The sequence below is a fragment of the Homo sapiens genome, chromosome 1 (assembly GCF_000001405.40).
Source record: "Homo sapiens chromosome 1, GRCh38.p14 Primary Assembly".
NCBI classification, from domain to species: Eukaryota; Metazoa; Chordata; class Mammalia; order Primates; family Hominidae; genus Homo; species Homo sapiens.
In genome coordinates this window covers 28885537-28899981 of record NC_000001.11, presented here as the reverse complement: position 1 = coordinate 28899981, position 14445 = coordinate 28885537, and the positions used below count along the sequence as shown (strand labels likewise).

General features: G+C 52.5%; 1 protein-coding gene across 12 annotated transcripts in view, besides 3 other annotated features; it reads right to left on the bottom strand.

Annotated features, from left to right (window-relative positions):
• The window catches only part of EPB41 (erythrocyte membrane protein band 4.1), a 232942-nt gene extending 220060 nt beyond the window's left edge, over positions 1-12882 (bottom strand). For all 12 annotated transcript variants that reach the window (NM_203342.3, NM_001166005.2, NM_203343.3 and 9 more), the window contains exon 1: positions 12772-12882. The gene's annotated coding sequence lies outside the window, so the exon portion shown is untranslated. The remainder of the gene's footprint in view (positions 1-12771) is intronic.
• Positions 12115-12464: a silencer, noted in NCBI's record as "silent region_550". NCBI's record gives its function as "represses an Ori minimal core promoter by ATAC-STARR-seq in GM12878 lymphoblastoid cells {active_cell/tissue: GM12878}" and the evidence as "EXISTENCE:reporter gene assay evidence [ECO:0000049][PMID:35858748]".
• Positions 12605-12824: a silencer, noted in NCBI's record as "silent region_549". NCBI's record gives its function as "represses an Ori minimal core promoter by ATAC-STARR-seq in GM12878 lymphoblastoid cells {active_cell/tissue: GM12878}" and the evidence as "EXISTENCE:reporter gene assay evidence [ECO:0000049][PMID:35858748]".
• Positions 12835-13124: a silencer, noted in NCBI's record as "silent region_548". NCBI's record gives its function as "represses an Ori minimal core promoter by ATAC-STARR-seq in GM12878 lymphoblastoid cells {active_cell/tissue: GM12878}" and the evidence as "EXISTENCE:reporter gene assay evidence [ECO:0000049][PMID:35858748]".

The window sequence follows — 14445 nt, the reverse complement described above, 5'->3', positions numbered from 1 at the left end:
GAGAAGATGCTAATATTTTCCCCACGTTATAGGGGAAAAAACTGAAGCTCACTTAGGTAAAACAACTTGCTAGAGGTCTCACAGCTGGTAAGGGGTGAAGCTGGGATTTAAACCAAAGTCTCTCTGCTCACAAATCCCTACTTTTAATCCTGTAGTATTAGTAGAAACCTCTGACCTCAATCCATCCCCTTCCTTTTTTAAATCAGAAAATGAAGGCTCAGGAAGGGTAGGTAATTTGCCCAAGATCTCACAGTGTGGAGAGCTAGGAGGGCTGGTGTTCCTTCCACTCTACCATTTTTGGGGCTGTGAACCAGGTTTTCTCTTTTAGGCCTATTTCCCAGCATCTGTGGAAGTCTTCAAGTCATCCTAGCTCCCGAGGATGGTTCCAAGTTCACAGTCCATCACTTTCCCCCCAGCCTAAGCCTGGATGGCATGGGGCCCTTCCTACTCTCTGCTTTTCTTGAGTGCCTGCAGTGGCATCATCGGAGGCTGCAAAAGGGAAACTGTCATGGGTGGGGCTAGAATGTCCCAGGAAAGGGGGAAGAGGGGAGGGAAGCATAACAGATGCTGAGCCTCCTGCTTTAAAACTGGCTTATCAGGTGTCATTTGTTCAATAGAAATCATAGCAGATATTCCAAGTCCCTAGATCAGGAAGGGGAAGGGCAGAAGAAGTTTTTAAGAGGCAGCAGCTCTAACAGTAGCTTCCTGCCACTGAGGACTCACTAGGTGCTTTCTGTACATTATTGCCGATCTTTATGGTAAAATCGGTGCCACTCTACAGTGCAGAAAACTGAGGCTCAGAGAGGTAAAGTGACAGCCAAGGCCACTGCACCACATGCATCTATGAGACAGTGCACAGAGGGTCTGGAGACCTGGGCTTCTACTGTGTGATCTTGCACTGACAGACACTTGCTTTGATCTGAGGTCCGTGTCTGTTCCATAAGGGACTTGGTGGCTAGCGTCTGTTGCATGATCCAGAAGGCTGAGGGATCCAGCTCTACCCCGACCACTGGACCTCCAGAAATACTGAACATCACACTCTTCACGAAAGCACCAGAAAAAAAGGGCTTCCTTATCCACTCCCAGAGGAAAAAAAAAATAAAGCTATTTTCTAAATATGTGTCCTGTTTCAAGGCTGCTGCTGGCTTTGGCCTCCAGCCAGGGCAGGGCATCTAGTGCAGGGGGTGGGAGAGTGCCCAGGCCTCAGGACTGAGAATCCTGGGGCCCAAGGCCAAGGCGGGCAAGGGGCAGGAGGGGAGCCAGCTTGGCAGTGGGCCAGCACCCCTCTGAAGACTTGGGCTTGTTTCTTAATCTTTTCCTTCCTTTCTTGGCTAGAACGGGCTGCCAGGAGAGGTAAAGGGGAAGCAGTGGGTGGGGCCAAGGAGATTGAGGAGTCTAAATAATGATGGCTTAATTAGCTCCTGTTTATGGGTGCCCAATATATACAGACACTGGGCCAGGCCATTTGTGGAGATTATCTCATTGAAGCCTCCGCCCTTCTCTGGGAGGAAAGCCTGCTGTTCCCACTTCACTGAGGTGGAAACTGAGATAGACAGGGTATGTGAGTGACTGGAGGCCACATGGCTTTTCAGTGGCAGGGCTGGCAGGGCAGCCAGGTTATTGACTCCTGAGAGAGGCAGCCACTTGATCTGGCTGGGGTGGTGAAGATGAGGGGAGAAGGTGGGAACTCAAGGGGAGGAGCAGCATGGGAAGGTCCTGGTTGTCTCTCTGAGCAGAACAGGCAGTTGTGAGGGTGCAGGAAGGAGAGGGGAGCCAGTGACATCCCCAAAGGTCTGCCTGACGTGGGCCCTACTTCCCTGACCAGCCTCATCTCCTGTCACTGCCAGCCTTTCCCTTTGTGCTCCAGCCACACCAACGACAGTGCTCATCTATCCTGAGCACAGTATGCAGTCTTGAGCCTTTGTACATGCCATTCCCTGTACCTAGAAAGTTGTTCCTGCCATTGCCTACCTAGAGAGCTCTTACTCATCCTTCAAAGCCCAACCTAGCTCTTTTCCCCTTGATGCCCCTGAGTTAACCACCTGCTCCCCTGGGCTCACTCTGCACATGGCAGTTCGTCCTTAAGGAGCAGGAACACTGAGTGAGTCACCTTTGTGCCCCCAGAACCTAGCCCATCAGCTCTCAATAAATGTTTACTGTCTGTAGTTGTATTTTATCACTGAATCTTCGAGGCAAGCAAAACAGGTTTTCTTATTCTCACTTTCAAGGCAAGGAAAAGGAGGGCAAGAGAGAGGGAGTGATGGGAGTGCCTTCTTTCTTTCCTTCCTTTCCTTCCCTTCCTTTCTTCCCTTCCCTCCTGTCCCCTCCCCTCCTCTCCCCTCCTCTCCCCTCCTCTCCCCTCCTCTCCCCTCCCCTCCCCTTCCCTTCCCTTCCCTCCGCTTCCCTTCCCTTCCTACCTTCCTACCTACCTACCTACAGGGGTTTCACTTTGTCACCCAGGCTGGAGCATAATGGTGCAATCACAGCTCACTGCAGCCTCAACCTCCTGGGCTCAAGGGATCCTCCCACCTCAGCCTCCCAAGTAGCTGGAATGACAGGCACATGCACAACGCCCAGCTGATTTTTGTATTTTTTTGTAGAGATGGGGTTGCTCCATGTTCCCTAGGCTTGTGTTGAACTCCTGGGCACAAGTGATCCTCCTGCCTCAGCCTCCTAAAATGTTGGGATTACGGGTGTGAGCCACCAGGCCTGGTGATTCCTGAGGTGGCACAGACACTCAGTAACACTGGTAGGTCTAGAACCCAGGGCTTTTCTGCACCACACAGCTCCTGCCTGGCCCCCACCCCAAAGAGGTCTCATCCCTACCAGACCTACCAGGGTCACCACAAGGGACCCCTGAGATAGGAGTGGGTACCCTGGGCCCTGGTGGCCACAGGCCTTGCCCCAGTGTCCAGCTCAGACATAGCTGCTGCCTGGGAAACTGAGGGGAAAGGTAGTGAGAGCAGCTGAATGGCTTTTACCCTCAACCCAGCTCTGCCTCCTCCTCCCAGATATGTCCCTCAGCCAGAGACCCCAGTGGGCCCCATTGGCCCCAGGCCCCAAGATCTCCCTCTGGCCCTCTCCTCTCCTCTCTGGCCACTGCAGTTCATTATCACGCCCTGCTGGCTCTGCCTCCTAAACAGACTTCACATCGCTGCTCCTTATCCCATGGCACAGTCCCCAGCCCAAGATCTCGGCATCTCTCACCTGGACAGTTCCTCCTGCCCCTGTCCCTGCCCCTCCCTGCTTACTATCCAGTGACTCTCCATTGCCATAGGTCAAGTCCTCACTCATTGTCTTGAGCCTGTCTCTTCAGCTGCATTCCCCCAAGTGCAGGCAGTTGTGTACCTTGGCACATGCTGTTCCTTCCACTAGGAATGTCTTTTTTCCTGCCCTTTGCATAAGAACACCTATTCAATAAAGGTGGAGTTGGTGATTTCTGCATCTTCTTCCCAACTAGACTCCGAGCTCCCGGTGGGGAAGGTGGGGAAGGACTACACAGATTCATCTCTGGGCCCCATGCCCAGCACAGGGCCTGACACAGAGGAAAAGCAGATGACTAGAAAAGGGAGGTACATTCTTACTTCCATGAGGCCACCTCCCTCCCTTCACATGCCTTCAGGAGTCTGTCAGACTAGGCTGCTATCCACCACCTGTCCCCAGAAGTTCCCTCCCAGACCTGGTCTCTTTTGTCCCAAGAGGAACATCTTTATAATCCCCAAATAATATTCATAATTATAATAATAACAATAACCATTGCTACTATTTGTTGAATGCTCACCATGTGCCTCACTATTTAATCCTCACAAGAAGCCTAAGAGGTAGGTAGGTTCTTTTATTTTCCCCATTTTACAGGTAAGAAAACTGAGGCTCCAAGAGGTTAGATATCTTGCCTAAGGTCACACAACTGGTAAACAATAGATGCAAGATGCAAAGTCAGGCCTGTCTGACCCTCAAGTGCCAAGCTGTCCAGCCTTCTCCTGTTTTCTATTATCTTTTCTCTTTAAAACTCTTACAGCAGCAGGCCTGGGTGGGGGTGCAGTGTGTGTGCATGAATTTATTTATCCGACAAACACGTCAGTAGCTCCCACCAGCCGTGTACTGGTCATGGGAGATGGACAAAGAGAATTCAGATGTACACTCTACCTCCTTGGGAGAAATATGAGAGTTTCACACTAAGAATTTGGGCCTTAGGGCCGGGCGTGGTGGCTCACACCTATAATCCCAGCACTTTGAGAGGCTGAGGCAGGTTGATCACCTGAGGTCAGGAGTTCGAGACCAGCCTGACAAATACAGTGAAACCCCATCTACTAAAAATACAAATATTAGCCAAGAATGGTGGTGCACGCCTGTAGTCCCAGCTACTTGGGAGGTTGAGACAGGAGAATTGCTTGAACCCAGGAGGTGGAGGTTGCAGTGAGCCGAGATGGCACCACTGCACTCCAGCCTGGGTGACAGAGTGAGACTCCATCCAAAAAAAAATAATAATAATAATTTGGGCCCTGGAGTGAGCAGGCTTGGGTCTGAGCCCCAGCTGTACCCCTAAAGAACTGTGGGATTCTGGGTGACTCACTTGACTTACCCAGTGCCATGAAGCGGGGATAATAATGCCTGCTTCAGAGGGTCTCCTAGGTCACTAGGAGGAATGCATGAGATAATGTGTCTAAAATAGCATATAACCAGCCCAGCCCATAAGAAATAGCCAATAAATGGCAATAATACACATGATGACTAGTGAGTCCCAGGCTCCCTGGGCCACAGTGGGATGTAATTCTTCAGGGCCCTCCCTAGAGTCACCTCAGCCAGAGCCAAATAGCATTATGGATAATAATGCCTAATCCACCTATTTTCTAATTAAACAATTCTTCAAGGGAGGTGTCTTTTAATAACCCTACTTTACAGGTAAGGCAACCGAGGCAGAGAAGGGGTTACAGAACCAAGTCACACAGCGAGAGTGGCAGAGCTGGAACCTCCACTCAGCTCCTCCCACACCAGGCAGAGCCCAGCCCTTATCCCAGGGCCCTGGCCAGTCTGCTGGGAAGTTCAGGGGCTCCTTGGATTCCAGTCCCAGCTGGGTGAGCAGTTAAAAGTAGGAGAAAAAAGCCAGAAAGAGGAACACATAGTCCCCTCCCAGAATCCCAGAATGAGCCCAGGGCTGGGAAGTTACCAAATGGGGCCCTGTGTGGGCTCTTCTCATCAACTCCTTCCCACACCTATGCGGGGAAAGTGTTGTGATATGTACATCACAGATGAGGTCTCCAAGACTCAGGGAAGAGCATGCCTTGTCCAGGGTCACACCTGGACAAGGAAAAGTGGCAGTACTAGAAGGCAGAGTCCCTCCCCATCCCTCCCATTTCTGCCCCAGATCTTCCCAGCTGCCTCTCTCTTCTGATGAAAACTAGAGGCTCTGTCACTCCCTCTCCAGGAAGTCCAGTTGCCAGGCCCCTCTCTGTGCTGATTGATACATGCTTGGTACTTGGCCCCTTACTAAGTTCAGAAGACCCAGAGCTCACTTTACCAGAGCCCTGATCCCCAAGAAAGTCACAGTCTATTGAGCAAATAGGGAATTCACATTCACTGAGCCCCTATCATGCTGGGCCCTTTATATCCATTAGCCATTTAATCCAATACAAAGCACATTGATAGGTATACCATAAACAGTCAATAAATATCTTCATTCCTTTGGAAACATTCAGTGAGCACCTACTACGTGCTACTATACCCTAGGCGCTGAAGATACAGCACCTGGTGAACAGATGAACAAAAATCCCTGCCCTTGTGGGGCTTACATGAATAAAAGAACAAATATACTTGTGTCCCATAAGTATTCATATTCTTATTTTGCAGACGTGAAACTGAGATGCAAAGAATCACCCACCTGTATGCAACAGAAAAAGGATTCTATTCCAGCCCAGTCTGCCCCAAAGACCTTTGCATTGTATCATGTGACCAAAAAATCAGCACCCAGTGTGTTTAATTGGTAGGCCCTGCTTATGGTAGGATCCTAAAATCACAGAGTGCCCTCTCTCAGCATTTCCACCCCTACCCCCGGGCCTCTCTTTACGCCTCCCAGTGGCCTCAGAGCCACAGGACATGCATTAAAATCAGCTCATGTGGCAGTCATTAAGTCAAACCATTACTCACCCAGAAGCAGCCGTCGGGGTCACGCAGCCAGTCCAGGAGAGGCCATGGAGCCATCACCGCAGTGGCACATGGAAGCAAATGACAGCAGTGAGACACACAGCACAGCCAAAGAAAAAGCCCTTTGGGTCCCCTTCTTCAGCCAGGGCCTGAGCCAGGAGGGAACCCTGCCCTCCCTCTGCCTCTGGGGTCTTGCTGGGGCAGACGCCCTAGTCAGCAATAATCTGATAATCCACCCTCAGCTCATCAGGCCTCCAGGGCCCAGCCCACTAGAGGCAGCAGCGTCCCTGTGAACAAACATTAACTGAGCACCTGCTGTGTGCCAGGTGTTGGGGATACAGCCTGAAGAAGACAGACATGGCCCCTGTACTTATGGAGCTTACAATGCAGTGAGGAGACAATCATGTAAATAACTACTGAATTACAACTGTGATGATTGTGTCAAGGAGGAGACTTTAAGAACCTGGGCCAGCCGGGCACGGTGCCTCACACCTATAATCCCAGCACTTTGGGAGGCTGAGGTGGGAGTTTTGCTTGAGCTCAGGAGTTCAAGACCAGCCTAGGCAACATGGGGAAACCCCATCTCTACAAAAAATATGAAAATTAGGTGTGTGTGGTGGAGTCCCACCTACTCAGGAGGCTTAGGTAGGAGGCTCCCTTGAGCCCAGGAGGTCAAGGCTGAAGTGAGCCGTGATCACCCCATTGTACTCTAACCTGGGCGACAGAGTGAGACCCTATCTCAGAATAAAAGAACCTGACACTTGTAATCCCAGCACTTTGGGAGGCCGAGGCAGGCAAATCACTTGAAGCCAGGAGTTTGAGACCAGCCTGGCCAACATGGTGAAACTCCGTCTCTCCAAAAATACAAAATTAGCCTGGCATGGTGGTGGGTGCCTATAATCCCAGCTACTCAGGAGGCTAAGGCACAAGAATTGCTTGAACCTGGGAGGCAGAGGTTGCAGTGAGCCAAGATCGCACCACTACACTCCAGCCTGGACAACAGAGTAAGATTCTGTCTCAAAAAAAAAAAAAAAAAAAAAAAAGAACCTGGGAAAATCCTGACTTCACTATTTATGGCTCTACCTTTTGTGACATTGGGGCCATTTGTTTTGTTTTGTTTTGTTTATTTGTTTGTTTGTTTGAGACAGAGTTTCCCTCTTGTTGCCCAGGCTGGAGTGCAATGGCGCAACCTCCGCCTCCTTGGTTCAAGCGATTCTCCTGTCTCAGCCTCCCAAGTAGCTGGGATTATAGGCGCATGCCACCGTGTATTTTTGTATTTTTAGTAGAGATGGGGTTTCATCGTATTAGTCAGGCTGGTCTCAAACTCCTGACCTCAGGTGATCTACCCACCTCAGCCTCCCAAAGTGCTGGGATTATAGGCTTGAGCCACCACGCCTGGCCTCGTTTTTACTTGTCTATGCCTCATTTATTCATCTGCAAACTGGAGATAATATTAGTATCCACCTCACAGGGTTGATGTGAGGATTAACATGGGTCAATACATGTAACACGTCTGGAAGGATGCTTGGCACACAGTAAACCATTCAGAAGCGTTTGCTACTATCATTACAGGGGCTGTTGGCATGGGTTTTGGAGGGACCCAGCATGGGTGAGGGGTACCACCTACCTGACAAAGTTGCTGTAGGGGGTTAATGATACAATGAGAGGTGAAGTTGAGTACAATGCCTGGTACCGGCAACTGTGCAATAAATGGTGGTGTTATTCTTTTTTTTTTTTTTTTTTTTTTGAGATGCAGTCTTGTTCTTATTGCCCAGGCTGGAGTGCAGTGGCACGATCTTGGCTCACTGCAACCTCCGCCTCCTCGGTTCAAGTGATTCTCCTGCCTCAGCATCCCGAGTAGCTGGGATTATAGACGCCTGCCACCAACCATGCCCAGCTAATTTTTTGTATTTTTAGTAGAGACGGGGTTTCACCGTGTTAGCCAGGCTGTGTCGAACTCCTGATCTCAGGTGACCCGCCCACCTTGGCCTCCCAAAATGCTGGGATTACAGGTGTGAGCCACCATGCCCGGCCGGTGGTGTTATTCTTAGGGCTTCTCTCCAGCACAACTCCTGGATAAAGCATCTCAACAGAGGAGCTGTCAGAAATGCTCCCACCACCACAAACACAAACCCGGAACTGCAGCTTTGGACTGAAAAATGACCAGCAACCACATTCTCACCTGATTTTACAAATGCCTCATCTCCTTTAACCTTCACAACAACCCAGGAAGTGGACAAAGGAGAAATTGTTACTATTCCCACTTTAAAGATGAGGACAGTTAGGTGAAGGGACTCTCGTGTGTCCTCAGGGGTGCCACTTCACACCTCCAAGCCTAGTTAAGTGGCCAACCCAGGATTCTAGCTCATATCTGCCTGGATTTTGTTCTCCGGGTTTTCCCTTGGTTTATTTCCCTTCAGTCTCTGGGGTACTGGCTGAACAGCCCCAGACAAGCCTTTGAACCTCTCCAACCTCAGTCTCTTCCTCTGAAATAGCTATCAAACAGCTGGCCCAGGATCCAAGATGTTCCTGACCCAAACTCTTCCTTCACAGACTCAGTCACTGTCACTCCAAGCTCTCCTCTAACCCTTTATCCTATTGCTGACCTCAGCCACTAACCCAGGGGTCAAGGAGTGTCTACACTCATTTAAGTCCATGCTTTACAGATGAGGCAACTGAGGTCCAAAGTTGGCCACATACCCAAGGTTGCCTTTCAGTGCCCAGTCTTGCACCTGGGCAGTAGCTGCGTGGGGCTGCCCCTCTGGGGAAACCCCTAGTGGGCCCTGGCTGACCTGGAGGTTGCTCCCTCTGCCCCTTTCTCTCTATGCTGGCCCCAGGGGCCACCCAACAGAGGCAGCACAGCTTGTTCCCCAGTTCCCCAGCCTCAAGATCCCAGAGCTCAGAGCTTTGCTCCAGCAGGGGTCAAACAGTTCCACAGGTAAGGGCTGAGCAATGTGGGCACCTCAGTACCCGTGGGGTGGAGGCTCCCACTCTTAGTTAGGTCTGGGCTTTGGAGTTGAACCTAAGTTCAAATCCCAGCTCGGCCACTTCCCAGCTTTGTGACTTTGGTCAAGTCTGTTCAGCTCCCTAAACTCCTGCAAAACAAAGATAATATTTCCCTCATGAGATTGTAAGGATTGAATGAGTTAATGCAGCGTATTAAAGGCTTAGAACAGAATGCTGTGCATAGTAAGTGCTTAACAGGCAGTGGCTGTAATTATGATTAGAGAACACGGGCCAAGAACAGGACTTGTGGGCCCGTCATACTCAGCCTTCATCTTGCTCCATCCTATCCCCTCACGTGGAGTGAGAGTAGGGGGTAGACTAAGTCCCAAACTAGGTCCCGAGGCTATAGTAATAGGCGCTGGAAGACCCGTAGAGACTTTAGACTTATCTCCCCTACTCATTTCACAGAAAGGGAAACTGAAACCCAGGGAGCAAAGTGACTAGCCTGCAGACTATAAAGGAGTGGAATCCCACCCCCTTTAATAAATATCAGAATCAGCCAGGCACGGTGGCTCACGCCTGTAATCCCAGCACTTTGGGAGGCCGAGGTGGGCAGATCACCTGAGGTCAGGAGTTCGAGACCACCCTGGCCAACATGGCAAAATCCTATCTCTACTAAAAATAAAAAAATTAGCCAGGCATGGTGGCAGGAGCCTGTAATCCCAGTTACTCAGGAGGCTAAGGCAAGAGAATCGCTTGAATCCAGGAGGTGAAGGTTGCAGTGAGCTGAGATCATGCCACTGCACTCCAGCCTGGGCAACAGAGTGAGACTCTGTCTCAAAAAAACAAAATAAAATAAAATAAAATAAAAATAAAAATAAAAATAAAATAAAATATCAGAATCTAAGGCCCTGGGAAAATTCTGAACTCCCCTATCCCCAGGAACTGTCATACAGGCCCATTCTGCAAACCCCTAACAAATCTCAGGACACCATAACTCTGTGGTGAGCCCTCTGTGAGTATCCTGTTCAGGTCTGTGGCTGGCAGACCTGTATATGGTGCACAGTACGTGCTCAAGAAAGGCTTAGAGAATAACCGAATGAAGCTCGGTTTGGTTCCACACCTGGGCTCAGGATTCCTCTCCAGGAGTCCCTCCTTGCACCTCCCCTCCTCACTCCCACCACCCCAGCCTCTGTCTCACCCTGCAGCCTAGGTTCCATCAGCTGGGCCCAGCCCCAGCCAACAGAGGTCTGGACCTCCATGGGGCCTGCACAGCGTCAGCATCTTCCTAGCCAGATGGATGTTCCTGCCCAGCACGGCCAGCCAGTCTCCTGGCCATGGTCCATTCTGCAGAGAGGGTGCTGGTCCTGCCCTGACAGGGCTCTACCCGCACTCGTCTGGGGAGTAAGGCGGCCTGGGTGGGAGCTTCTGTTGGCACCTGGAGCCTACAGGAGGGAGGCCAGCCCTGGTCTAGGAGGGATGGGCCAATCAGGAGACAGCCAGTGTGGCCTCAATGAGTATCACCCATACACCCAGGCACTCCACCCATGCCCCATGTTGCTGAGACCTGGCAGGTGTTGCCTGGCTCTCCTATACATACAGCGGAAACCTCAGGACTTCCCCACTCCATTCCCTTCTTAAAACACACTACTGGCCTGCTATCAGACCAGCTACCGTTCTGGTCTGCATACACATTGCCTATTTGATGCTGCTTATGCCTGCAAGGTCCGGATTATTGACAAAGTACAAGCCTGGGACTCAGAGAGGTGAAGTGACTCATGCAGGATCACACAGCAGGAAAGTGGAAGGGTCAGGATTCAACCCAGTTCTGCTGTGTGCAGAGCCTACTGGGCACTGGATGTCCCCTTTCATCCCTCCCTCTGCTCCCTTCAGCTTCTGGCTCCCTTTCTTCTCAAGCCTCCTACCTCCTTGCGCAAAGTTTCTCCTGGCTTAGAATTAATAATTCCCGGCCTGGCGCGGTGGCTCACGCCTGTAATCCCAGCACTTTGGGAGGCCGAGGTGGGTGGATCACGAGGTCAGGAGATCGAGACCATCCTGGCTAACACGGTGAATCCCCGTCTCTACTAAAAATACAAAAAATTAGCCGGGCGCGGTGGCGGGCGCCTGTAATCCCAGCTACTCGGGAGGCTGAGGCAGGAGAATGGCGTGAATCCGGGAGGCGGAGCTTGCAGTGGGCCGAGATCGCGACACTGCACTCTAGCCTGGGCGACAGAGCGAGACTCCGTCTCAAAAGAAAAAAAAGAAGAAATAATAATTCCCACCTCACACCTGCTTTAACGCCTTATTTACAGTGATTTCCGAAGTGTCTGTCTGACACCCCGGAGAGCCTTCAAGGCAGGGAGTGTTCCCAGTAGGTGCTCCTTAGACTTGCGGGTCTGTCATTCTATCTCCACCCTCCTCCCCAACATGCAGAAGTCCCTTGAGCCTCCTCCTGCAGATCCCTTCCCCACCCAGCCTCCTGCCAAGACCATCCTCCAGGCCTGAAACTGGGTGGAGGTAGGGAGCTTGCTGAAGCTCCGGGGCGCGTGCCAGGGCTCTGGCCCCTCCCCAGCCCCTCCCGCTCCCCTTCAATAGCTGAGGACCTGACCCTGACGAGACACTAGGCAGCTCTCACAGGGACTCCCAGTTGCCCTAAGCCCAGCCCCAGCCAGGTTCTGTCCAAGCCTCCTCCTTCTGGAGGAAAGGGCTCCAGAGGCGGAGAAGGGGTCGTCCGTTCCCGGACCCAGGAGCTAAGGGTCCTAGAATCATCTTCCCCAACCCTCCTCTCTCCTCCCCACTCCTGGAGCGAGCTCGGGCTCGGGTTGGTCTGGACAGGTCCCTGCCTCCAACTAGCTGGAGAGGAGGGGTCCTGTCCCACCCTGAAGAGGTGGGGCCTGCCGGGAAGTGTAGGTGAGGGCGAGACAATTCTTGAGGAAAGACAGAGGACAGAGACAGGAAAAGACAGCAAAACAGAGACGACAGATGAGAGATACAGGGAACCCAGAGATGAGAGGGAACCTGAGCCTGAACCGGACAGAGAGACCCGGGAGACCCAGACAGAGGGAAGTCCCCTAGACCAAGCCTGGCAGGGAGGGTGTGGGGCTGGCGCGACGGCCGGGGGGGCCACCCTGGCGGGCACAGCCGGCGCCCCAGCTGGCGGGTCGGTTCCTGGGTCCGGAAACTCAAAGTCAGTTACGTAAGGGCCGGAGCGGGGCGCGGGGCTCCAGGCCCCGGAGCCCCCTCCCGCTGCTAGCCGCCAGCCCGCTCCAGCGCTGCTGCGGGCCCGGCAGGAGCATGCGGGGCCGGGCAAGGCGGGGCTAGGGGGCGGCCGGGGGCTGCGCCGACCTGCAGGGACTCTCCCGCGGACACCGAATGCAGGACCCCCGCCCCAGACAGCCAGGACCGGCCGGACCCGGACGTGTCTAGCTCCGGATCCGAGCTCCCGGACCCCCTCTCCAGACTCCCACGCCCCTCCCTGCACCCTGAACTTTAAGATGCCCAGACTCCTTTGGACCCCAAGTTCGGATTCTGGAATTCGGGACCGCTGGACCCCTCAGCCCTGGACCCTTCGACCCTGGTCTCGCCTCTCCCGGGACGGTCCGAGCCCTTGGGGGTAGGTTCTTCTGTCCCTAACCCCGTCCCTCCCGGGGACCGAGGGTCGCCCCCCAGGTGGTCCAGGCTCACCTGGGCTGGGTGCGGCGGGGACCGGGCCGACCGCGTTCTGGCTCCGCGCCGCTCTCGCCCTTTAAGAGGTTCCTGCCACTTTGCCCCGCCGGGGCCTCCACCTGCACTGACAGGGCAACTCCATCGTGAGGCCCCGCCCCGCCCGCTAGGCCCTCTGATTGGCGCAGGCAACTGCCGATCAGCGGGGCGGGGAGGGGGAGGCCCGGGCAGAGGAGTGCGAGAGTCGCAGTTGGGAAGGGGCGGGGGCTGCAGGTGTAGCCTCGTCCGGCGGGGACACTGAGCCGGGGGCTGCTTTGATAGACCCCAGAGGTCAGGGGAGGGAAGGGCAGGGAGTTCCTGGATTGACTGGTGTGACGTCATATGACAAAAGTGTGAAGCAATTTGACACGTGGTACTGCTCCTAAGGTTACTAGGTAGAGGGGTTGGTCAGAGGGGATCTAGGGAAGTGACCCTGAGGAGACTCACCTGGATCGCCTGTCCTACCACTTCGTCCGGCGTGACCCTGAACAAGTCACTTCTCTGGATCTGAATTTCGTCAACCATAAATCTTACAATGTTTTCCTGAGAATTAGCGATGTAAGTTAAATGTCAAGCATAGGTCTGGTACACAGTAGGCGTTCCGTAAAAGCGAGTTCTGGATCCTGTCGTGCCCGCCTTGCCACTCTTCTCAGTGACTTTTCCCCTCCTGATGGTCCACTCCATCAACGCTTCCATGGTCACTGGCCGAAGTCTCATCCCCTCCCTCCCATTTCAGGCCTGAGCTGGCTTACATATGCCCATGTCAGGAAGCTCACCACCCGGCAGAATGGCCTCTTTCATTTTAAAACTAACCCTGACACTTCAAAAGCTCTTCGTCACAGAATCATAGGATCATAGAATATTCCAGGCCAGAGCACCGTGGAAAACTAACCCTTTCTTTGGACAAATATGGCAAACTGAGGCTCGCTGAGGACAAAGCCTTCCTCTGAATGTAGTGATCTTCCTACTAAATGGGGTAACTAGACTTCCTGTGTTCCAATCCCCAACGCTGCCACTTCCTAATTGAGTTACTTTGGGTGAGCTACTAACTCTCTCCAAGCCAGTTTCCTCCTCTGCAAAGTGGGGTTAATGAAAGTATTTTCCTCAAGGGTTGTGGCAAGAATTGAATGAAAGAATCCATGTCAAGTGCTAAGAACAGTGCCAGTCCCAGGGTAAGCATGCAATAAGCATTAGCATTTATTATAATTATTGATGTTATTGTTATATTGATACATAACTGAATTAAAAGTCATACATTGACTGACTCTCCCCCCCTCCAAATTCACTGAGGACTTCTCTGAATCAGGTCCTGTTTGAGGCTTCAGGGCCCTGGTTCCTGCCTTCAAGGAGCCCATAATCTAGCAGAGGAGGGTCAGACTGAGCCCTTTGACTGGGGAGATGTTTTCTGATGGAGGGAGGTGGGCTTCAAGGGACTAGAGAAGTGTTGGATCCTTCGACCAGAAATCAGGACACTTGAGACCCTTTCAGTCTCTATCCCTGTGAATCCCCTGGGGAAGCCTGGTGCGCGAGCACACACACGTGCGCACACACACACATAGACAACCAGGCTCCCAAGCACATTGATGTACCTTTCACTTGCCTATATCACACCTGCCCACCAGACAGTATTGCCCAGGGGTTACGAGGTAGGGATTT